Source organism: Homo sapiens, chromosome 13, assembly GCF_000001405.40.
Source record: "Homo sapiens chromosome 13, GRCh38.p14 Primary Assembly".
NCBI lineage: Eukaryota > Metazoa > Chordata > Mammalia > Primates > Hominidae > Homo > Homo sapiens.
In genome coordinates this window covers 50878739-50904951 of record NC_000013.11, presented here as the reverse complement: position 1 = coordinate 50904951, position 26213 = coordinate 50878739, and the positions used below count along the sequence as shown (strand labels likewise).

Here is a 26213-nt window from a genome sequence, read left to right as displayed (position 1 = left end):
TCTCCTCTATATTATTAAAAATCTGTAAGATTGCTTCTTTCAAAACAAAATTAAAATTAAAATCCATGTTTATCATCATTTTTCTCAGGAGAAAAAGTTGTTCTCTTCTACCAAATTTTCCTGCCATCAAATGCTCATTGAGTGACAATAGAGAAAGCACCATCATCCTGAAGCATCAGATTGGGAGAAAAGTCCGCTCTCGAGAGCATCAACTATGTAGAAAGGGGACCAGTGAGTATGAGTAGCACTGAATCATTCTTTCTGGGAAGAATATTCCCTTTCTGTTCTCTCGTAACCAACCCAACCTAAAACTGAACTGTACTTGGCAGTGTGAAAAAAAGGCACACATAAACTTGTGAGATCTGCCCATCGTAGCATAAGAATGACTGAAGCTATTGAGGAAGGAAAAAGGGCAGCACCTGACACCCAGAAGCTGGCCTGGCTCTCATAGGCAGACCCTGCGATTCTCCCATTAGACATGAACCATCTCACAGAAAACCAGCCTCTGACCGGGCTACTTTGAGACCATGATTAAATAAGACCATTCATAATTTTGTGTGAGCACAGACAAAAGCAAGTCACTTTGCCACCCATGAAGTACCAAACATCCTATCTCTTGGCCAAAATGAGTGCTCCTTCTTTACCAATGACAACTTTATTCTCACTATAGTTTCCCCTTCCTATAAGAGTAAGTGAGATCTCCCATTACAGAAGTGCTCCACTTTCTAACAGCATCCAATCTAGAGGGAATCCCCGCTGCCTTAGACTCTACCTCAAATCACTCAATCAAAGCCCAAATCCTATAAGGTCCTTTCTAACACCCTCTTACTGAAACACCCATGATTTCCGTGATGTGTGTTCTTCCTTGCTGCAACAAGTAATGAACCAAACTTGTTCAACTACAGGTGACTTCCTGGCTTCCTTGGCTGAAGAGTATTGGTGCTATGTTTACACATTTCCATATGTGTATGTGTGTGTATATAGTTATAAGTGTTACATATATTTATATAAAATCAAGGTAGCTAGAAATTCAGGTAATTCAAGCTCCAAAGTATACTTTTCTGGCTGAAGTATCTGTAGAGATAGACTGCCAGAATTAAATAAATCAGATAATCAGATAATTACACATTTTGCTGCCTGGCACCCTAGCAACCATCACACAATTCATATAATCTTAATAACTTGATGTCCTAGTTATCATCACCTAATTTGCTTTTACATATGCTATTAATATTTTCTACAATGCAGTGTGTTTGAGATTTTTTTCAAGCTATGCATTTTTTAACATGATAATAAATGGGGAAACCAAAATTTTAAAAAATTGTTTTTTGAAGCAGGATATAAACTTTTATAGAAAATATGATCACAGTTAAAAAGAATAATAAGAATAAAAGGGTGGTTACTAAAGTCTAACCATAGTTGCACTTGAATCACTTCAACTGTGATATATTTTCTAAAATTTTTAGTATTTTTAATTTGATGGTGGAAATACTATTAATTTCTGGCTTCATTTTACCCTGTTCTTCCTCTTAGGTGCCTAAACAATGATATCCTGATTCTCTTTTGGTAAATCTTAATTACTTTTACCAACAGTCTCTACAATTAAGAGGCTTAAGGAGACACATTACTAAAATCAAAGCTGTTCATATCTGCTGCTTTCTCACTATAAGTAAAATACTCTTCAAATAGTAATAAGATATTTTATTAATTCAGTCTAACAAAACATCTGTAAAACAGGAAATGCAAGTACTAAACATGGTTTGTTGCTTGCCAAAGATTAACAAATTTTTCTGGTAATGTGAGCATTTCACCCAATGTTTTGCTTAAGAGCAAAAATAGGTAATATTGACTGAGTATTTAAAGAGAAAGTGTTGTAACTTCCACAGAATAATGTCAATTTCATGTTGACTTTTGCAATTATATTGATCATGCAAAAGCAACATTTCTGAAAACTTAGTCTTCTTCATTTGTTCACTAAATATCTCTAATTCTTTGATAATATAATTCAATTAATAAACAGATTATCCTTTAAAAGTGCTTATAATTTCTCTATTTTTAGCATAAACATGCAGCACATTCCAAAAAATACCTTTATCAAAACTTTTAGGCAGAGTAAATGAGTCTTTTGTATTTCTTATTAAGATTATACTAGAGGTGAAGATTGTAACAAAGCAAGCATCCTTTGTTCTGGATTTGGGAAGAAACTAGAGATTTAAAAAGGATTTAATATTGAGTTAAAATGTAAAAGGATTGCTCTGTACTTAAAGACTACAATATTCATTCTGTAGTAATTTCCATAGTAATGGCAGTAATTGATTAAATTGTGACTAAATTGACAAAAAAGTGGCACGCCTATAACGAAATAGACTCTGTCACCTTCTTGTGGATGGGCACTCTCCAGACATATTGCTATCTACTTAAAATGTGGATTAAGATTTAAAAGATTAAGAAGTATGAACAAGCTATGGTGCAACATTTCTGGTTTCAGAGTTAAACACTGAGTTAAAAGGAGCTTTATAGCTGAATTGATGTTCACATTGCTCAGACCATAAGTATAGATTGGGACAAAGAAGGTAAAAATTTGGGGATAGAAGAAAAAAAATACTTTTTTTGCTTTTTACATAATCTGAACAGTATTTTAAATAAATAACAGAGGTTAGGACAATGATTAAAAGGAGTGGCCAAATCTTTAGACACCCCTTGCTGAGCTTTTGTGCATTTTTTGTTTGCTTGCTTGCTATTTTATGATGTCAATGTATTTGAAGTTGCCTCCGTTTCTTATTTCTAACATCAGGTGTGTCTTCAGTGAGCAAACATCCAAATGACATTCCTGTGGTAACCATGTACAACTCAGAAGTGACTTTCTACCATTTTTTCCAGAAATGATTTATTTAATAATAATCTAACTCTTGCAAAACAGAAGCTACTTTACATATGCTTCATATAACAATGTCCAGATCAAGCTATCATTTTTGGAGTCAGTACACAAAGGCATTGTTGACTTCATTAGGTGCAAGTAGCAGCCTGTCTTTCTGGCTATGTTGGAAATTTTCAGGCGGGAAATGAATGAGATGGCCCAAGTACATAACACTCCTGCCTCAGCAGCAGAGCCAACTCCACAGTTTAGTTTATTCACTAAATGTGGTAACTCCAGCAGGGGCGGGGGAAACTGGGCCCATTGCACTGATCCTGTTACTTTTCTTCCTTAGTTTTATGTTGTAAACCAACTATCCCCAAGATTTATTTTCTGACCTTTTTTTACTATTTTATTTTCCATGTTGGATAAATAAGTTCAGCAGAAGCACATGTTTTGATGATTTTGCCTAGATTAGTTATATTAAGACTATAAATTGTAAACAGAGACTCCTTTTTTTTTTTGACTTTCAATACACTCTTCTGGATGAATTCCTAGAAGTTAGTAGAAGCTGTTGCTCTAATATCTTGTAGAGCCAGATGGGAATGGGCCCTATAAGGAGAAAATGTAAAAAGAATAGCTACTTCAAAGGAGAGTTAGAAGTTTCTCATAAAAGACAGGACATAACTTAAGAATGCACTAGAGGCCGGGCGCGGTGGCTCACGCCTGTAATCCCAGCACTTTGGGAGGCCGAGGCGGGCGAATCACGAGGTCAGGAGATCGAGACCATCCCGGCTAAAACGGTGAAACCCCGTCTCTACTAAAAATACAAAAAATTAGCCGGGCGTAGTGGCGGGCGCCTGTAGTCCCAGCTACTTGGGAGGCTGAGGCAGGAGAATGGCGTGAACCCGGGAGGCGGAGCTTGCAGTGAGCCGAGATCCCGCCACTGCACTCCAGCCTGGGCGACAGAGCGAGACTCCGTCTCAAAAAAAAAAAAAAAAAAAAAAAAAAGAATGCACTAGAATCTCCTGTAAATTTGTATCTGATGCTTGGCCACTCTCTTTTTCTCTCTCTCTCATGATCTGGACCAATCTGAATTAGCTCATCAATATTTATTGATACCTACTTTGTGCCAGACACTGTTCTAGTTGCTTGAATTAAATCCATAAATAAAACATACTAAAATACCTACCCTCCTGGACTTTATGTCTAGTAGAGGGAGACAGACAAACAATACACATAATAAATACATTCTACAATGTGATAGAAGGTGGCTGGTGCTGTGGAGGAAAGAAATATAGCAGAAAAAGGAGGTCTGTGAGAAAAAAGAGGAGGGTTGCTATTTTAAATAACGTGGTCACAGTGGGCTTCATAAAGGAGCTAACATTTGAGCAAAGACTTGAAGGAAGAAAAGGAGGTAGGCGTGTGAATACCAGAGTGAAGAGTGTTCCAGGCAGAGGGAACAGACAGTGGAAAGGCACTGCAGCTGCAGCCTGCACGGCACGTTCAAGGACAGCAAAGAAGGCTATGGACTGAACAAGAGGGAAAGGGCAGTAAGAGGTAAAGCTGGAGAAGTGAGGACCTCACATGCCATTGGCAGGGATGAAATGGGCTCCACCAAAGGGCTGGCCAAGGGGTGGTAAGAAAGCATAAGTGTGTATAAGGGAATGACTTCAATCATTACACAGCCAAGGGCCAAAGCTAGAACAACTTCAGTTGCAATAAAAACCTGAAAGAAGCCTAGGGTTTCTAAAAATGTTTTTACTGTAATCCACGGTCAGAAATACATTTTATAGGATGACTTTGCAGTCACACAAAAGATACACACATTATTAAAACAAAGGTTTCATAAACCTACACATGTTGTACTCAAGGTATGCTAATATCTTTGGTATATTCTAATCTATTAGGTTTCTTTTCTTTATTCAACCCTAATAAAATATATTAAGTTGATTTTATAACCTAGTAATGGCACTTCAAAAAGCATTGCTATAGGCAATGTGATCATTTTGGCTATACCCTAACTGGATAACATAATCACATCATTGTCAACTCTGAGCACACTTTGGCTAAAAACCACATTGGGGGCTAATTACTTTAAACAGAGAACCATCATTAGCTCATTAATCAAAATACAATGTATATATAAGATATTCTGCTTTCCTGACAGCTGTCATTATATAAAAATATTGTGTGGGCTGGGTTACCATGAGGAAATGAAAAACGTGAAATTCGGGTACATCATTTCTGACAGGCAGCCAATATTTATGGTAGTTGGCTAAAGTGATTTTACTTCAAATAAACAAATGTTTAATGTTTTCATAAACACATAGACATGACCCTAATTAGTAAATTTACTAATAGATTTTTGTTCATTATCTCCAGACCAATCTTTAGATATATTTATTTTTAGAAAACAGGGAAAACTTTACAACTGTGTCTCAAAATATTTTGAGAGTTTCTTAAAATGTTTGAAAGCAGCATGATTTTATGAGTGTATAAGCATTGGTACTTTTCCAAACTGTTAAATTGCCCTTTCAAAACTCAAAATTCATTTTTAACTAGATTCTGGTTTTAGATATTTTTTTCTGCTGCGGAAAGTTCTTAGATTTACCATAGGATGGGTTCAAGTTTTATAATACAGTCATGTACTGCGTAATGACATTTCATCAACAACAAACTTCATATATGACAGCAGTCCTGAAGAATATAATATTGTATTTTTACTGTACCTTTTCTATGTTTGATATGTTTAGATACACAAAGACCATTGTGTTTCAATTGCCTACAGTATTCAGTATAGTAACGTGCTATACAGGTTTGTAGCCTAGATGCAATAGGCTACACCATACAGCCTAGGTATGTAGTAGGCTACACTATTTGGGTGTGTGTAAGTACACTCTGTGGTAATCACACAATGGTAAAATCGCCTAATGATGCATTTCTCAGAATGTGTCCCTGTTGTTAAGTAACACATTACTGTAGATGCATAAGTGAAATCTTAAGAACATACTAAGTCTTAAGTATAAGAAAGTTCCAGAGTGATACATATACTGTGGTATGATTTACATAAAGAATATGAACACTTAAAAATGGTGCATATTGTATATGGAATTTATGTAGATATCCCATGACATAAACATGTATATGATATATATGTGTATATGAGATATGTTCGTTATATATATTTCTGTGAATATACATATATATTATTTTTAAACTTGCCAGGAAAAAAAATGTCCCTGAATAGTCATCACTCTTTGGAAGGGAAAACAGGCAGTGGTACAAAGGCATCATTCACCTACATCTATAATAGTTCAAATTTTAAAATAAAATATTTAAAGCAAATGTGACAAAATTTGTCTCTACTTTCTGTATGTTTGAAGAAGAGCTTACTTCCTTATAGCCTGTACTCTAGATGGCCATTTATTTTCAAACAGAGACCAGATATAAAACACAACACCATGTCCTTAACTTGTAAAGAAGATAAGCTGGGAATACATCTTTTTAAAAATAGCTATATGGTGTGGACACGGTTTTCAGCAAAGAAAGCCCTAGTTCCTGTTTTCACTTAGGGTTGTGATAAAGGGAAGAGACTTGAGTGGCAGACAGAGATTTAGATTAGATATTAGAAATAACTTCATATCTCTGCAAGACACCTAAGATTGCCTGGGGATTTTGAGAACAAGAACTTTGCTGAAACAGCTTATGCTCTACCCTACTTGGAACCAGAAGAGATTATCAACATCCTAGTTGTCCTTTAAAATTTGAGATTCTGTCTGCCATTTCTATAGGCGTGAAGATCTTAACTGATCTACTCAGAATCTACAGCAAGGCAGAAAGAACGCAGTGGAAGAGAACAAAAACAAACAAACAAAACTTGGTCCTCAGCCATCAAGAGCCTGTTCTAACATTGGAAGTTAATGGTACTCTAACAGGACAGTGGCAGTGAAGGCCCTGGAGAGGGGAGGAAGGCAAAGAGGGCACCACTTCACTTGTACTCTAGTTATTTCTATCCATCAATCAGTAAGCTTGTAGAGGAGCTTTCAACTTCCATATGTGCAAGATGCTCTGTAGAATGCATGTAAGAAAGAAAAACATCATTGCTTATTCTTTAACAGCTTACAATCAAATTTGAAAAAATCCACACATGAAATATTAAAAAAAAACCATAACACAACAATCGGTAGCACAGTTGTGAAAGCAAGAAAAGGTAAGGACAATCAGTATGGGCTGGACTCATCATGAATGAGAAGGCATTTATAAAGAGCCCCATAGGATGAATGGAACTTGAACTGTCATGGAAGAGTTGGTTGAGAGGGCATTTCAGGTATAGGGTAAACATAGGCTGAAACCTGAGGGAGGAATACTCCCGAATACCATAGCATGTTGTTAAATGGAAGTTTCTGGCTATAGTGCAGATGTTTCAGAGAATACAGGAGGTGATGAAGTGAAATAGCTGAATAATTGGTGGTCACGGATTGCTTTTTATTTATTTATTTTTAAATTTTTAATTTTCGTGGGTACATAAGTGTATATATTTATGGGGTATTTTGATACAGGCATGCAATGTGTAATAATCACATCAAAGTAAATGGAGTATCTATCACCTCAAGCATTTATCCTTTGTGCTACAAACAATCCAATCATCCTCTTTCAGTTGTTTTTAAATGTACAATAAAATCATTATTGACTATAGTCATGCTGTTGTGCTGTCAAAATACTAGGTTTTATTCATTCTTTCCAACCATTTTTTTTGTACCCATTAACCATCACCACTCCCTGCCACCTCCACCACTACTCTTCACAGCCTCTAGTAGCCATCCTTCTACTCTCTATCTCCATGAGTTCAATGATTTTAATTTTTAGCTCCCACAAATAAGTGAGAACATGCAAAGTTGGTCTTTCTGTGTCTGGCTTATTTCACTTAACATAATGACCTCTGGTTCCATCCATGTTGTTGCAAATGACAGGATCTCATTCTTTTTTATGGTTGAATAATGCTCCATTGTGTGCATGTACCACGTTTTCTTTATCTATTCATCTGTCTATGGACACTTAGGTTGCTTCCAAATCCTGGCTATTGTGAATTGTGTTGCAATAAATATGGGAGTGCAGATATCTCTTTGATATACTGGTTTCCTTTCTTTTGGGTCTATACTCAGCAGTGAGATTGCTGGATCATATGGCAGCTTTATTTACAGCTTTTTTTAGGAACCTCCAAGCTGTTCTCCACAGTGGTTGTACTAATTTACATTCCCACCAACAGTGTGTAAGTGTTCTCTTTTCTGCACATCCTCGCCAGCATTTGTTATTGCCTGTGTTTTGGATAAAAGCCACTTTAACTGGGGTGAAATGATATTTCATTGTAGTTTTGATTTGCATGTCTCTAATGATCATGATGTTGAGCACCTTTTCATACACCTGTTTGCCATTTGCATGTCTTCTTTGGAGAAATGTCTATTCAGATCTTTTGTCTATTTTTAAATTGGGTTATTAGATTTTTTTCCTGTAAAGTTGTTTGAGCGCCTTACATTTCCTGGTTATGAATTCCTTGTCAGTTGGGTAGTTTGCAAATATTTCTGTGGGTTTTCTCTTCATTCTGTTGATTGTTTTCTTTGCTGTGCAGAAGCTTTTTAACTTGATGTGATCTACAAAATGCTTTAAAAATCAGCCAGAGATTTCTAAATTTGAGGATGGAGAAAAGAAACAAGTGTCTGTTCTTAAGTAGGTCAAGGATATATTGAAAATGACATTTCAAAGACTTCTTTAGCAGCAACGTTCATAATTAAGCATTTAATATGGATTCTTTATAAAATAAAAGTTCATCTTGCTATTTGTGCTTTTTTATATTAAAATATAGGGTGTTTTGTTAACTGATTACTTGATTATTTTAGAACATGCTTAAGAAGCCTAAGTATAATCAGATAACCTCAACATCAGTAGGACAACTGATGCTGAACCTTAACTTGGAGCTTTAAACTCTTTTCCAAATGGTTTGTCCTTTAGATTTTCACTGCATCTAAGCACTGTGAGCTAGTTATTTCTCAGAAAACACCAATAACAGTAATAACAGCTAATATGGCAAAAATGAAAAATTCAGACGACTTAACTATACAGTGTTTATATAATGTTCATGTGCCATTGAGAAGGGGTGCTGGAAATGAGTTTTCAGCCTCAGTGTACCAGGACAGCAGGTCGAGCACAGAACTGAAGCCTTGGGCTCTGTCCTATCTCTAGGTCTAGTCTATTGCTTTCTTAGTCAAGTCATTTCCCCATTGTAGGTTTACCTAAAAAGAGGGGATTAAGCTGAATAAACTAAAAGAAAAAAAAAAAAACACAACATTTTTTCAGCTCAAACTTTATAAAACTACATTTGTTCATGTTTTGGGAGTTCCAGCATGAGCCTAGCTTGACATCGTAGGGTATAACAGGGCCTATTTTTCAGGTGGGTAGGAAAAGTCTAGTTGCATAATGATAGAATTATCTTGGGAGAATAACCCACTAAAAGAAGCTCACACCCTTGGGTCAACCACAGTGCTCTAGCACTGGAAAAAGAGGACAACATTGAGTTATATTGTTTACTACTTAGAGCTTCTTCTGGCCCAGTCCCTGGGATTAGTAGTTAAATTCTAGGAAAATTTCAGAGACATTGGAGTACAAATTACTCATAAGACCACTTAAATTAATTAAGTAGTTTCACCTACGAGGAATCAAAATACCTGACTCAAGCTTGTGTATGCAATAAGAACATTTATCTACATAACTGGATTTCAAAGGTAGGGCAGCATTAGTTTCATCCTAAGACTGGTTCTCCTTGTGCTCGCAATATGGCTGCCAGTGGCCATGGGGGATATATACTTCCTGGTATACAATGTAACATGAAATATGAGTCCTTGTTTTTATTCTGCTTATTTCATCTCGGATTATGGTGCCCATCCCTGTACTAATCTCAGGGGATGGAAGACTGCCATTGGCTTCACCTAATTAGGTTCTATCACCAGTGATCCAGATATGGTCAGTTTCCTCTGAGGTATTTGGAAAATAGGTAGTTTTCTGAAAATTACTTTGGTTCTCTAAAGTACTAATGAATATTTTGCAGAAAATGAACACCTTCCATGACTCTCACCCACTGGTGTCTGGGCTGGTGGGACAAGAGAGCATCTGCTGTTTGATGAAATAAATTTATGTTGAGGTTATCAGAGCAGGAGGTTGTTGACAAGCACGGGTGTCTATAATGGTCTTGTAAGAGCTGAAAGTGTTACTGGCGGTGAATCTGTATAGGTCTGCAGCAACAATTCTTACCTTCTCAGAAGAAAGAATTTGGCTCAGGGGCATAAGGCAGAGTGAGAGACTGAGGCAAGTTTTAGAGCAGTGGTGAAAGTGTATTAAAAAGCTTTAGAGCAGGAATGAAAGGGAGTAAAGTACACTTGGAAGAGGGCCAAGCAAGCAACTTGGGAGATCAAGTACACAGTTTGACCTTTTGACTTTGAGTTTTATATGCTGACATACTTACAGGGTCTTGGGTCCCCTCTCCCCTGATTCTTCCCTTGGGGTGGGCTGACCACTTGTGTGCTAGTGCTTGGGAGGGGCCGCATGCGCAGTGTGTTTACTGGAGTTGTACACATGCTTACTTGAAGCACTCTTCTCTTACCAGTTGATTGCTCCTAGAAGGTCATATACCAGTCAAACTCTGCCATTTTGCCTCTTAGTGTGCATGCTTGAACCCACTGGCCCAACTCCTGAGATCTTATCCGGAAGCTGCTGATCACCAGTTTCAGGTGTTTTCTATCTATTGGGAGGCTGCCTTTCCCTGGCATCTGGGTTTCTCATTCACTGCTATTGACTTGGGCCGAAATTACATGTTCCATGCAGCTGGAAGGAAGTTGCCTAAGAAAAGCTATCAAACACTTGTGAGGATTGGAGACTACAGCAAATCCACAAGTGATGAACCTGCTGGCTAGTTCAAGAAAATTCAAGAAATATATTTGGACAGACCTCTAGAGATTTGGCTAAAATAAAGAAGAGCAGACACTTAAAAAAGTATTTTTTCTTTGATTTGTGGTATAATTTTAAATCATGAATCTAACCCATTTCTTGATAGGTGGGTTTGAACTACAGAAATTCTAGTTCAACTTTTACCTCTTCTGAAGGCATCATTTTAATGTTAATGCATGTTGATATATGTCTCCTTTCTTTAGCAATAGGACTTCCTTGAGCTGATTAGAGTAGCTGTGCCATCTGCAAAAACTCTACCTTAATGCATCTACTTTAAAACCTTGAAAACCTTAATGCATCTACTTTGCATGTAAACAGGGAGCATGGCTGTGGCCTAACTGAATTTCAATGCCTGTAAGTGTGGTTTCCTGAAAAAGAAAATGAAACCCTGTCTCCATGTCTTCACAGCATGCATACTTTTTTTTTTTTTAAACTGTGCATCTGAGTCACACTGAACAACTCTCTTTCTACTCCAAAGGGGGAAAATAAGTTAAATTTATGTTTCATGCCTGTAAGGCATTTTAAAGTTAATCGGGCCCTTTGGGCCTAATTTAATTTGTGTAAGATTGCTGTTGATGATTAGAATAGCTATTTAAGATTTTTGTTAACAGTCTGTTATGTGGACTTAATGGAAGCACTCCAAAAGCAGTCTGTTCACTTTCCCCTGTCAAATTCAGGTTACAGAGCCTTCACAGATGTGAGTAGACATCAATACGAAAAGGGGATAGAACACAAATTAAAATCAGAAGTGTACTCAAACTGCCAGTGTTGAGCTTTGGTTAAAAACATCTGTCACATAAAAGCAAACACTCAGAGCCGTTACGTCTTGTAACAGTTGTCTTTATTTTTCATATCTTTGGCATTTTCATCATTTCATGTTAGTGCTGTCTTTGGAATTTTTCATACAAGTGATTGCTTTTTTTAACATCACTGATTTCTCTACACAAACATTTGTAAGGCTTTTGTCTCAACACTACAAAGAGAGAGAATATCAAGCAGAGCTGGAATTTGAATGGTCTCGTAGAATCTGAAAAATGCTAAATGACGAGTTAATGGGTGCAGCACACCAGCATGGCACATGTATACATATGTAACTCACCTGCACATTGTGCACATGTACCCTAAAACTTAAAGTATAATAATAATAAAAAAAGATTTTACTTTAAAAAAAAAAAAAAAGAAAAATCGGCTGACCAACGCAGAGCACTTTAGCGAAGTGAATGTATTTGACTCATTCTGGCCAACATTAGATCAAACTCTCCCTTTGATTCCTGCTACAAGGTTATTTTTCATCGTTTCAAAATTTACAGCTACCATTCTTATTTTACAGATGTCAGTGATCATAAGAAGCCCAGGTCTCCCTTCGGTACTATCAAGGAGATTTCAGGATGCTCTTGAGTCACTTTCCTGATATTTGTCATAAATCACATCTATTTTTTTCAGAGTTAAGATTTTATTTCTCTCATTACTTTGTTTCATAGCTTTTACAATTTCATTCCTTTATTCTGTTTTCATTTTCTGTTTTCCAGGCGTTGTATTTCAAAACCATGGCCCTTCTATTTCCTCTTTCTTATTGTTTTTCTCTTCCATGTTCACTTCTGCCTTCCTTAATTTTCTTTCCCTTCCTTTACTCTCATTTCTTTCACAGAGTGAGTGATTTCTGTGAAAGCAAGGTAAGTGTCTCATGGGGTCCAGCTAAGGATGCAACCACCAAAGGCAAGATCAAGAGACAAATGAGCTCCACCTCCCCCAGCGCCATGTTCCCCTGCCCAGGAAACACCACCTGCTTCCTATGTGGCTGGAGGGGTGGGGGCTGTGCACAGCAGTGAAGATGCTAGGAGATTACAGGCAGATATTTTGCAAATAATCTCTTCTAAAGTTATTGATTCATATAAGTGGAATATAAGATTTACGTTAATCCTATTCCTTAAATCAGAAATGTCTAATGTTATACTGTTTTATGCAGTGGGTAATTTACATTAAGAAAAAGGATTTTAAAAAAAACTAATAGGAAAGCTTGTGGATCATCCCACCCCACCCCACTTTTTTTCTGGTCACCCCTGGCTGGTCACCTCAACCTTCTGCTTTCTTATGCTGCCATTTGCACCAAGCATGACATTATATCAGCTCTCTCTTTCTCTTTGTTCAGAACAAAATCCTTTTTATAGCAAAGTGGAGAAAATTCTCGATGCCATGAATGCTGAATGAGACTTAAATACAAAGGCCCTGCAATCACATTTCACCCCATAATTAATTATGTAATTATAAAGCTTTGTCAAGCCATTGTATTCCCCCTCAAATATATTTTAAAGAATTTTAAAGCTTTTGTTTCTACACCCCTGACAATAATGATAAAACACCCTTACCTCTCCCATTTCCACGTGTCTATCACCTTTTTAATAATACTCTTGAGAAAAACATGAGATCACTGGTATTAAAGTAGAAAGGTCTTGCAGCTTTTTTTCTAGTTACTTAGATTTGTGGAGCTCTAATTTGATTGTGGGCATCCTTTATAAGGCTTGTTCCACCTTCTCCTGTGGAGCTATACCAGCTGTGACTCCTGTTTTAAGAGCTATGTTCTCTTCTCTGTTGCAGACCTATGTTATATCTGCCTTAGTGCATGGGCTGCTGGTCAATGCTAACAGCTGGCTCTCAGGGAAAAAAGAAAAACCATCTGTGGCATCTGCCAATTTCTGTGGTGTAAATACTCTGAGCTCTGCCAATTTCAAGCCATCCATCTGACATTGCTGAACCCAAAGTTGGCAAGGGATGTGCACAATTGCCTTTTGCAAGCAAGTAAGAGCTGTCTTGGGGATTATTAAGCTACTCAAGAAGCATCTGCCTACTGGCACCCACTGCTTTTTTAATGTACTCTGGGAGGAGAGGGCATATAAAATAGTGTTCTTGGCTTAAGGGGTTTACAGTCTAGCCAGAGAGAAAGAGCCCAAAGCAATGACCAGAGAAAGCAGAGTGCAACAGTGATCCACAAACTCCACTGAAGGGATTCAGAGCAAAGCCCTCAAGAAAGGCACTTTAGCAAAGAAAGTGTGTTTAAAGGATGCAGAGGGTTTCATGACATGGAGGAAAAGGGAAAACGCATTCCAGGCAAGGGAAGGCTGGAAGGTTGGAATAGGCATGGAGTGTTCTTAGAAAAGACAAAACAGAATCTCAGACTGTCTGATGACCCAAACGGGAAATTTTTGGTACTATGACAGAATATTCACTTCCCTCTTTACCAGGTACTTTTACACACGTTTCTTTTGATCCTTCCTATAACTGTAGGAGATTGGTAAAATACAATAGGTGTTATTATTACTATTATTATATTCACTTAGCAAAAAAGTATACTTAGAAAAGTCAGAAAACTAAGGGAAGTTAAGGGCCCTTGTGGACCCCTTTAAGCCAGACCCAGAATGCTCTCTCCCCAGCTTATCGTACCCCAGTGTTATTGCACCGCAGTCTGCTCTGAGGACCCTCATTAGGCAGTCCTCCCATACAGTAGCCTCTCAAACTGCAAGACTTTTCATTGCATGAGCAAGATCCATTTTTCCTTGCAACGAAACTGAAGAACTGCCTCAATGGCTTTACAAAGAAAAGCAAAGTCTATTTCTTTTTTAATGTCTGTCCTGAAAAGGACTTTGGGGGCATGGTGCAGTGGAAAAGTCACTGAGCTGGGTATCAGAAGAGCTAGATTCAGGTTTGGGATCTGATTCAGGTTTGGGATGTGATGGAGAGCTGTGTGATATTAGGCAGATGGCTTAACACTTCTGGGTTTCCGTATGTCATACAGGAACTGATGAGTTTACTTGCATGGCCTCAAATGTTCCTTTTATCTATGAAAGGCAGCACTTCTAGATATACTAAATTGCCAGTCTAGAACTATATCATTACATGGGCCTCCAGAGAATCCGGGGAGCCTAGAGGAGTTGAGTGTGTTGAAGGTTGAAGCACAATTACCTTAAAAAATAATGTAATTGAAGTTCTTGGATATTACTTCCTGAAGATGGCCAAGATGGCTTTTTTTTTTTTTTTTTTTTTTGCCTGGGCTAGAATGCAGTGACATGAACACGGCTCACTGCAGCCTCAACCTCCCAGGCTCAAGCAATCTTTCCACCTCACCCTCCTGAGTAGCTAGGACTATAGGCATGTGCCACCACACCCAGCTAATTTTTTCTTTAAATTTTTTTGTAGAGAGAGGGTCTCCCTATGTTGCCCAGGCTCAAGATGGCCTTCTAATGGAGCCAATATCTATCTATTCATTCAACATATTGCAAATAAACTTTGGAAATAAACCAGTTATATGAAATAAAGAAGTAAATAAATTATTAAATAAATGGCCTTACTTTATTCTGTCTCCTCTGCAGGCTTCTGCAAAAGACTTGAGACAGCTCACAATGAAGTACTCTGTATTAGGCAGGGTAATATTGATTGCAAGTGACAGAAACCCAATCAGAAACTCACTGGAGTCATGAGGAACACTTATTGGCTCAGGTAACCTAACCCTTGAATGGGCAGGGATGTATCTGGTTTGGGAGGAAATAGTACCAGGTGCTGAAAGTAGCTGTCTCAGACTCTGGTCTGTCTTTCTGTGTCACATTCTTTCACACCTTGGAGGTTGTGGTCATCTGGCTTATCACTGGTCAAGAAGATGCCTCCTTCATTAGTTCCTTGATTTCAATTTGAAATAATGCTGGTCAAAGACTCTGGCCTTCAGCAAAGACCATGGCAATGGTCTGAGAGTGGCAGAAGGCAGAGGTTGACTGCATTACTAAAACGACAAGGTTGGAGTTGGGACAGGTGGGGAGAAGGGTTTATCTAAAAGAAGGTGCTGCTGCTATCAGAAGAGGGAGTGTTTGGGCTGGGGGGACAAAATAAAATATGTCCACAACAGATACATCAATAGAATCATTAAATAAAGCTGGATGGGATGGAAATGAGCAGGGTTCGTTGTGTAAGAGAACCTAAATTAATTATGGTAGCTTCAGTTTAGCTCTCACGTATGTGAAAGTCAAGGTAACATAGAGAAACAGATCATTTATAAACAAAAGGAAGCAATCATTTTCCTATGTGTAAACTCTACTATGATACTTAAATAGGTTTACAGGAGTCATTCAGTGGACAACATCTTCCATAGTGATTTTCAAAAAAGATGCAAACAATTTTTATTCTGTCATATCTTATATCAAAAATTATATTTAGAGCATATTACCTCATATTTCTTTTAGGTCTTCATGGTGTATTTAGGATGATAAATAAGGTGTATCTGGGGAGATAAATCCAGGTATATAGCTTTCAGATGATCAAACCTATTAGCATAACATCCAATTAATGGACTATTAATGATACCATATTTTTATCAATGTGTAAAGGTTATGTTTGCTCCCATTTTGAACTTTTTGTTCAGTGTAGATGACTGGAATGATCATGTTATGTGACGCTGTGTTGAAGAGAGTCACTGAGAAAGAGGTAATGTCAAGTAACAGGGAAAGTAAGAAATGACTGGAACACACTGGGACTTTGCCATAAACATAAGAGACAGGCAGTCAGAACAGTAAAGAATTGTACTCAAGTTGTTTGAGTACAAACTGTTTGACACTGTGACACTGTGATAGGGAAACCAAATAGTGTATTCATTGGCAATGTCTTTTATGGATACCAGGAGATATTGTTAGTCAGCTGTAGTGCAATTATTGTTGATTGGTATATTCTTAATTCACTGAATCCTTTGAATTGTGCTACTCCAAGTTCTAGTAAATACTAGAAAGTATTTACTACTCAAGTATTCTAGTAAACACTAGAAAGCATCCAGCATATTCCAAAAGACCGAGAGTCGTTGACTTAGTAGACAATGAAAATTGTTACCTTAATTGAACTAACTTCAAACTGTATGTGCTGTATCTCTGGGGGCAGAGGAGAGAAGAGTGACTCCATCACAGTCAGGTAGTTCCAAATGTATCTGTTGTGCATATTTGACTTGTCCATAATTGCCTTTTAAAAGAAATTGTCTTTAACCCAAAACAAAACACCTTGAAAATCAGTCTTAGACTGTTGCTTTTAATTTTCTAATATCTCTTAGTATTCCTAGACTTTCAAAATTGTTCTATTAAGGAAATTCTCAAACATCCAAAAGTAGAAAGACAGTATAATGAACCCCATTGACACAATATTCAAATTCAACAATTTTTAACATTTTTCTTGGTTTTTAAAAAATATTTCACATAACTGATCCAAAGGAATTTTTTTACACATAATGTCGCCATAGAATGTTAGACTCTTTTTATTAAAAAAAAAAAACTGATTATAAATATTTGCACATTTATAAGAGGAGTTTTCAGGAATTTGACAGGGCACACCTAGAACCACCGGGGTGGTGCTCAGGACCCACCAGGTACACCAAGGACCCACCAAGCACAGGTCCAGCCCCAGTTGTCCATCTTGCTTTATCTATTATTCACCTTTTTTGATGTCATATTGTTTTATCCATAATTAAGTCAGTAGTATATAAATCGAACAGATGAGCATTTTTAAAAACCACAAACCCACCATTCCATTATCATACCTGACAAAATTAACATTAATTCTATTATTTCACCTATTACGCAGTCCGTGTTCAAATGTCCCCAATTTTCTCAAATATATTTTACAGTCCTGTTGAAATCACAGAGTAAAGTCCACAAATTGCATTTGGTTGAAATGTCTCTTAGGTATTTTCTAATCTATGAAAGTTCCCACTTCCCCATTTTTAGCCGTTTTTTTGTTTGTTGAAGACATTGGTTCATTTGTCCTGTAGAACTTCCGGCATGCCAGATTTTGCTGATCGCATTCTCATTCAACCCATTAATCTAATAACTTGTTCCTTTGTATTTTTCATGAGCTTGCTGCCTGAGTGTGAAGCTTGCTTAGATTCAGATGCATTTATTTTGGCAAATACTCCATAGGTACTATCGCGTGTTTCCGATTGCATTCCATCAGGCGGCACATGAGGTCTCGTGGTCCCATTTTTAGTACTGTTAACACTGATCAAGGGTTAAGTGTTGTCATCTAATCTACCCTTTCACTAGTGTTTTCCTGAGCCTCTGACAGATGCTTCATTGAAAATGAGGTCTGGCGTGCCCATCCAGTGGAAGCATTTTGAGTTTTTTATTGATTCTTAAATGTCCTTTCTCATGGAAGCCTTCCATGTCATCCAATTAAAATGGCAACTCCTCACTCTCTATTGGCTTTCTCTGCTTTTTTCCTTCCTCCATGGAATGTATTAGTATTTCCATCTTCTATAAACACATTACTTATTTCCCCCAACCATTGTGTATGCTCCACAAAGACAAGGATTCTTTTTTTTTAATTAGTAGACTTTATTTTTTAGATCAGTTTTAATTTTAGAGAAAAATTGAGTAGAAAGTACATAGAGTTTCCTTAATGCCCTTTCCCATCTCACCCTAACCCCCCTAAATTTCCCTTGTTATTAATATCTTGCATTAGTGTGGTACATTTGCTACAACTGATGAACTGATCTTTATGCATTATTATTAACGTAAGTTTACTCTTTGTTTCGTACAGTCTTATGGGTTTTGGCAAATGTATAATGTCATGTATCCATATTACAGGATCACATAGGTGATCCTAAAAAATCCCCTGTGCTCCACCTATTCATCCCTCTTCCCTCCATCCCTGAACCACTGGCAACTTCTGATCTTTTCACTGTCTCTATAGTTTTGCCTTTTCTAGAATGTCTTACAGTTGGAATCATACAGCACGTTGTCTTTTCAGACAGGCTTCTTTCACTTAGCAATATGCCTTTAAATTTCCTCCACATCTTTTTGTGGCTTGACAGCTAATTTCTTTTCATTACCATATCATATTGTATTGTCTGGATATATCACAATTTAGTTATTCATTCACCTACTGAAGCCATCTTGGTTGCCTCTAAGTTTTGGTAATGATGAATAAAGCTGCTATAAACATTTGTGTGCAGGGTTTTTTGTGGACACACATTTTCAACTCATTTGGATAGACACCAAAGCGTGTAATTGCTGGATTGTATGGTAAGACTACGCTTAGCTTGTAAGAAACTGCTAGACTGTTTTCCAAAGTGGCTGTACCATTTTGCACTTCTACCAGCAATGAATAAGAGTTCCTGCTGCTCCACATCCTCACCACCTTTAGTGAAGTTTCTGTTTTGATCTTTTGCCCATTTTTAAGTTGCATCGTTTGCTTTCTTAATGCTGTTTTAAGAGTTCTCTTCATATTTTTGATATAAGTCCTTTATCAGATGTGTTTTGTAAATATTGTCTTCCACTCTGTGACTTGTCTTTTCATTCTTTTAACAGGGAAAGTAGAACTTTTTAAAAATCTGTTTTGTTTTCTGTCTTATCTCGAGTGCCTAGAACAGTGCCTAGTTTATAATAGCTGGTCAATCTAGTGAATGCTTGCTGAAAGTGGTCTATATGCCTTAGGTACAGCTAAGAACAAAGTTGACACTTGATTGTAAAAACTAAAGAGCTGATCCAATTGGAGGACTATTTCACTCTTCACAGAATTAAAGCTTTCATTGACCAACAGCTGTGATTTTATCAAAACATTCATAAAATTGAAAGTCTTTCTTCCAAATTGGAGGTAGTCTTAAAATAATCTAATTTATTTTACAGTTAAGACCCTGAGCCCTATTCACAGAATGTCAATCTCTGCTCTCCCAATGACCACTTAAGGCCTAACAGAATGACTCTCAAGTTCTTATTTCTCTGAGACATATTCTCTAATATTTTCTTTTAGGGTTAAATAATGAAGTATTCAGACATAGAAAAGTACAAAAATAATCACATATTCCTATCTTCACCGTATCATAATATTGAACTGATTTTTACATTTTGTCATGTTTGTTTTAACTCTCTCTTCTCCTCCCATCTTTCTTGGAATAAATATTAAAGGAATGGCTGAAGCCTCAGATACCTCATCCCTACCTCCGTCTCTACCTCCATTTTCCCTCATTAGTACCCATGATGGTGAAATTGATGTATAATTCCCATACAAGTGTTTGCAATTTTTAATGTATTTATATATACATAACTAGCGTATTGCTTTTTGTGTGTTTGTAAAATGACACAAATATTATATTAATACTAATCAGATCATTCTGGGTGGTAGACACTGTGGCATGGCCCACCAGATCTTCAGGACAAGGCACTTGCTCCCTCATTTGGAGATGTAAGCTTAGAATAGCTTCCAGTTGAATCTCTCACCAAGAATTCCCTTTGGCCATAAGCCTTGCCCAAAGTCACACACCCTCCCTACAAGCATCCACTGACCATTGACTGGGAGAGGGGATAGGGCATTTATGACATTGGAGTAGGGAAGTATTTATTAAATAAGATTTTAAAATATAAATCACAAAACGAAAATGAACTTGAATATCTTAAAATTTAAAAAATACCTCTGCACAATAAATGAAATTATATAGTGAAAAAGCAAGATACAAACCAGTATATTTGCATAGCACATACAGTTATTAGTAAATAAACAATTCCTATTCCTTCTTCAATAGGAAGATCTGGCCTTCTTGCCTCAACTCAGGGCTACTCTAAAGGGAGATCCCAGCTCCAGAGCTCCCCACAGGCTTGACTGAAGCCTCTGCTGCAACTACACTGTGGTTTAACTTCTCCCTCTGCCAGTCTCGCTTTCCTCACTCCTTGCAGGGTTTTGTTTTGTCATTGTTCTTGTTGTTTTGTTTTGTTGTTGTTGTTGAGACAAGGTCTTTCTCTGTCACCTAGGCTGGAGTGTACTGGTGCAATCTCAACTTACTGCAACCTCCACCTCTCAGGCTCAAGCAATCCTCCCACCTCAACTTCCCAAGTAGCTGGGACCACAAGCGTTTGGCACCATGCAATGGCTAGTTTTAAATTTTTTGTAGAGATGTAGTTGCACAGTATTGCCAGGCTTGTTTCAAACTCCTGGGCTCAAGCTATTCACCCACCTCAGCCTCCTAAGGTGCTGGGATTACAGTCATGAGCCACTGTGCCCAGCTCCTCGCAGGTGTTAATCCTGAAGACACTCCCTAATAAACTTTCTGTATGCTTCTCATGGTCACAGGGTCTGTTTCCTAGGGAATCTGAGCAGTGGCATTCTGCAACTTGCTTTTAACACAGATCATTTTCTAAAGATTTTTCCATGTTGACTTGTATCCAGTACCCTTATTCTAACTGCTACATGGTATTCTATTCTATGGTAAGCCACACTTTATTTATCTAGTCACTCATCAAGTTAGGTTGTTAGTCCTTTTATATACTTACAAAAGTGGTACAATGAATGCCTGTGTCTATTTCCATTTTACACATACTGGAGACATTCTCCAGGATCTGTAACTAGAAGTGGAACAACCTAGATTGTATGTTATGTGTGTTATCATCTTTATTAAGTGATGCTAAATTGTTTGTCAAAGTGATTATAGAAATTTACTCTTTACTAATGATTTTTAAGAGCTCTTCTTCTCCCACATTCTTACCAATATTCTGTGTTGTCAGATTGAAATGTTTTCTTTGCCAAGCCAATGAGTGTAAAGTGTCAACTTAATGTTGTTTTAGTTTTATCTGACAGCTAATGAGATTAACCAATTTTTCACGTTTATTGGTTATTCAAGTTTCTCCCATAAATTGCCTACTCATATTATTTGCTCATTTAAAAAATTAGGTTATTACATTTTCTCATTAATTTGTTGGAATTGTTTATATACTAATAATTGTATGTGCTATGTAATATGCAAATATACTAGTTTGTATCTTGCTTTTTTGCTATATGATTTCATTTATTGTGCAGAGGTATGCTTTAAATTTTAAGATACTCAAGTTCCTTTTCTTTTTGTGGTTTATGTTTTAAAATCTTATGTAATAAGTACTTCCCCACTCCAATGTCATAAAGATATTATTTTCTTTCTTCCGAACTTTTACAATATTGGTTTTTTTTTTTTTTTTTTACATTTAGGTCTTTTATCTATCTGAATAGCCCATTTATCCAAGACTACTAATTTCTTTTTTTTTTTTTGAGACAGAGTCTCGCTTTGTCATCCAGGCTGGTGTTCAGTGGCGCAATCTGGGCTAACTGCAAACTCCGCCTCCTGGGTTCTAGCAATTCTCCTGCCTCAGCCTCTCAAGTAGCTGGGATTCTAGGCATGCACCACCACACTCAACTAATTTTTGTAATTTTTAGTAGAGACAAGATTTCCCTATATTGGCCAGGCTGGTCTTGAACTCCTGGCCTCAAGTAATCTGCCTGCCTTGGCCTCCCAAAGTGCCGAAATTACAGGTGTGAGCCACCACACTTGGCTAAGACTACTAATTTCTAATGCTGCTTCTGTCATATACCACATGTGTATGTATTAAAGTTGTTAAGTTTCTAGACTTGTCTTTGGTGTTCTGAAGTTTCACTATATGTCTAGCTATGATCTTTTTTTTTTTTTTGTTCAAGAGTAAAGGCAAAATAGACCTTCAGAGAAATAAAGTCTGGGAAATTGACTAGATCCTCACTGAAAGAACTACTAAAGGATGTACTTATGGAAGAAGAAAATTACAAAGTGAAAGAACTGGGATGCAAGAAGTAATGGTGAGCATGGAATTTGGCAAAGATTCAAGTAAAACAAAGCAAGGACTGAGTATATAAAATCATAATCATAACAAATTTTGACTATTATATGTAACAGCCAATCTCTTAACTGGGTCATAATAAGAAAGTGAAAGGCAGAAAAAATGACAAAAAGAATAATTAGAATGTTAATAAGAAGAGTAACAAGATTTTGAAAAATTTGTGCTGGTTGATATCAACTTTTGGCACTTTTCTCTTTTTCTATACTGTTAACATAATTAATGAAAAAATAATAATTCATACTTCAAAAAATTTAAGAAGTTGCACATATTTTCATTTGAAATAGTATAAGCATTTTACAAATGTTATTTTAAGCTTTAAAAAGTGAGTAAAATTAATAACCAAATGGTGGAAGCAACCCAAGTATCCATCAATAGATGAATGAATAAACGAAAGGTAGTATGTTTATACAATGGAATATTATTCAGCCTTAAAAAGGAAATTATGACACATGCTACAACATGGGTGAGCCTTAAGGACATTATGCTAAGTGAACTAGACCAGTCACAAAAGGGCAAATACTATAGGATCCACTTATATGAGGTAATTACAGTAATGAAATCATCGAGACAGAAGGTAGAATGGTGGTTGCCAGGAGCAGGGGTAGGGGAAAATGAGAGTTATTGTTTAGTAGGTACAGAGTTACAGTTTTGCAAGATGAAAAAGTTCTGGAAATGGATGGTTGTGATTGGTGCACAACAATGTAAATGTACTTAATGTCACTGAACTGTACACTTAAAAATGGTTAAGGCGGTTCTTTTTTTGTTATATGTATTTTAACTTTAAAAATAATACTTTTAAAATGTGAGAAAAATATCCTTGAATCTGTTTTATGTTAGTGAGTGAAAGCATCTCTAAGAAGAGAGTCAATTACTTTGTCAAGGCAGTCCCCAGCCTTTTTGGCACCAGGGACCTGTTTCGTGGAAGACAATTTTTTCATGGATTGGGTGGGGGGTGGCGGTTTTGGGATGAAACTGTTCCATGTCAGATTAGATCATCAGGCATTAGATGAGAGCACAACCTAGACCCCTCACATGAGCAGTTCACAATAGGGTTCATGCTCCTCTGAGAATTTAATGCTGCCCTTGATCTGACAGGAGGCAGAACTCAGGTGGTAATGTTCACTCACCTGCCACTCACCTCCTGCTGTGCAGTCTGGTTCCTAACAGGCTGTGAACCAGCGGTACTAGTCAATAGCCTAAGAGTTGCGGACCCCTGCTCCAAGACACCAAGCCCACAGCACATCTGGTGGGGTCAGACATGACCCTTACCCTTCCCTCCCACACCCCTGTCCCCAGCTTCTCATTTCATGGGCCCTATTCACTGGAGCCAGTTTGTCTAATAACTCCAGAATCTGTGCTGCCTCTCAATTAGCACTCCAAGTTTTGGGTCAGGCCCTCATCATTTCTTACTTTGATCAACACATTAAAATCCTGGCCAGTCTCCCTTTTACCATCTATCCTCCACTCTGCAAGCTGAATGATCATTCAAAAGCATGAATCTGTTAAAAAGAAATCAAAAGAAGGAAAGAGGAAGAGATAGTGGTTAGTGACGTGAAATGAAGCAGAATAGTCAAGGAGAAAACGTAGCCTAGAAACACTTATGGATTGGAGTCTTTCAGGAGAAAAGAGTTAGTAAAGTTGTGGAGACGGAGAAGCCAGATAACAAGGAGTGAGAAGAAAGTGAAGAAACTAATATAAAATTGCCTGTTCTCCTGGCATTATCTTCCCCATTTGTTTGCCTGGCAAACATTTAGTCTTTAAAATCCAATCCAATGTCATCTTCTCCACAGAGTCTTCTTTAATATCTGCAGGCAAAGTTAAGAGCTTCCCTTGCAATACACCAGCGTGCCTTGTTCATGCTTTTACTACGGAATTTATTACATTTCTCTAATTATTTGTTTTCATCATTTTCTGTCACTAGACTGTGAGCCACTGGGGAAATACACTATTTTCTATTTCTCTTTATACCCCCAGTTCCCAACATGATGTGAACAACATCTGTGCTGGTTGAATGAATGAATGGTGTTGAAAGCATCTACATCAGGGGTGTCCAATCTTTCAGCTTCCCTGGGCTACACTGGAAGAAGAATAATTTTCTTGCACCACATATAAAATACACTAACACTACTGATAGCTGATGAGCTAAAAAAAAAAAATCGCAAAAAAATCTCATGTTTTAAGAAAGTTTATGAATTTGTGTTGGGCCACATCCAAAGCCATCCTGGGCTGCATGCAGCCTGCAGGCCATGGGTTGGACAAGCTTGACTACAGCTTTAAAGTGATCTTAATCTAATCAATTCTTCCCCATTCAGAAGAAACCTACTACATCAGAGTCTATTGAGAATCTATCTCCCTAATCACCCTCAGGCACAGGGTTATTATGTATTGATATCATACACACTAAAAAATTCCATCATACAGGTCTAGAAATACTTCCATAATACAGTAATATTTTAATAGAGTCATAACACACAGACAGCCACCCATTCTGCCTGTAGCCAGTCATGGAGCAATACATTTTGTACATAACCTGTAATTTCTTCTGGAGAGTGTAATTACAATGCCAATATGACATTTTATTTTTATTATTATTATTTAGTTAGTTAGTTAGTTACTTTTTGAGACAGAGTCTCACTCTGTCGCCAGGCTGGAGTGCAGTGGTGTGATCTCGGCTCACTGCAACCTCTGCCTCCCGGGTTCAAGTGATTCTTCTGCCTCAGCCTCCCGAGTAGCTGGGACTATGGGTGCCCACCACCACACCTGGCTAATTTTTGTATTTTTAGTAGAGATGGGGTTTCACCATGTTAGCCAGGATGGTCTAGGGGTTGATAAACTACAGTGCACAGGCCAAATCTGGTTTACTGCCTGATTTTGTAAATAAAGTTTTATTGGAACACAGCCTTGCCCATTTATTTACTTATTGTCTCTGACTGCTTTCATGCTACAATAGAGTAGTTGCAACAGAAACTATAGTCTGCAAAGCCTAAACTATTTACAACCTGGACCTTTAGAGAAAGTTTGCTGACTCTTTTTTTAATGGATAAACTAAAAGTATGTAAGTAAACATGATTTCATGTCTTATGATATGTCAGGTGAATGGTACAATCCTTTGGTTTAAGTTCTTAGTATTATACCTAAAGTATATCTACCATGAAATGCATTTTCCACCTTTCATAGTCTCAGCTGGTTAATCAAAATAAATGGATTCTATGGCATAATTCAGGATGTTACCATTTTTGCTTTTTAGATCAGCTCTTCACCCACTGTTTTCCTGTCATACACATGGTGTTCTTAAAATTGTAAATGAAAACTCATTTGAACTTACATTAGTAACTTCTGTTAAATTATACTGGATTGCTTATTAAGTAAGCATTATTATCCACATTAAATCTGTCACAGATGAAAAAATTACACATAAAGGAGACTGCTTGAGGCCCCAGGGCATGCTGTAATATACATAGAGGCTCCTGAATACTTGGTTTTCCATGTGGATCTCTGATTTTGCTGAAAGAAGTCTGTAAACTGATGTAGTCAGACAGCTCCCCACTGGCTACACATCTCTATAGAATTTAGAAGCATTGTTTATTTCAGCAGAGGTCTGGAATGAATTTTCCTTATAATTTAACTCCTGAAATGACTGTTTCAAAAGGTCAACTGTGGTGAACTTGCATATGTGACTTGCAGTCACAGCTAAGTCACGATCCCTTAGTTTTTCCAGAAGTCCACTAGAA

The 26213-nt window shown here is 37.3% G+C and overlaps 1 long non-coding RNA gene across 1 annotated transcript in view, besides 2 other annotated features; it reads left to right on the top strand.

Annotated features, from left to right (window-relative positions):
• The window catches only part of RNASEH2B-AS1 (RNASEH2B antisense RNA 1), a 28335-nt gene extending 5761 nt beyond the window's left edge, over nucleotides 1–22574 (top strand). The window contains exons 2-3 of the long non-coding RNA NR_046552.1: nucleotides 15217–15343; nucleotides 22307–22574. This is a non-coding gene — a long non-coding RNA (RNASEH2B antisense RNA 1). The remainder of the gene's footprint in view (nucleotides 1–15216; nucleotides 15344–22306) is intronic.
• Nucleotides 10837–11376: an enhancer, noted in NCBI's record as "OCT4-NANOG hESC enhancer chr13:51467712-51468251 (GRCh37/hg19 assembly coordinates)". NCBI's record gives its function as "activates a minimal SCP1, AML or CMV promoter by ChIP-STARR-seq in primed H9 embryonic stem cells {active_cell/tissue: H9 hESC(primed)}" and the evidence as "EXISTENCE:reporter gene assay evidence [ECO:0000049][PMID:30033119]".
• Nucleotides 11217–11366: an enhancer, noted in NCBI's record as "active region_7769". NCBI's record gives its function as "activates an Ori minimal core promoter by ATAC-STARR-seq in GM12878 lymphoblastoid cells {active_cell/tissue: GM12878}" and the evidence as "EXISTENCE:reporter gene assay evidence [ECO:0000049][PMID:35858748]".
• Nucleotides 22575–26213: the final 3639 nt, after the last annotated feature.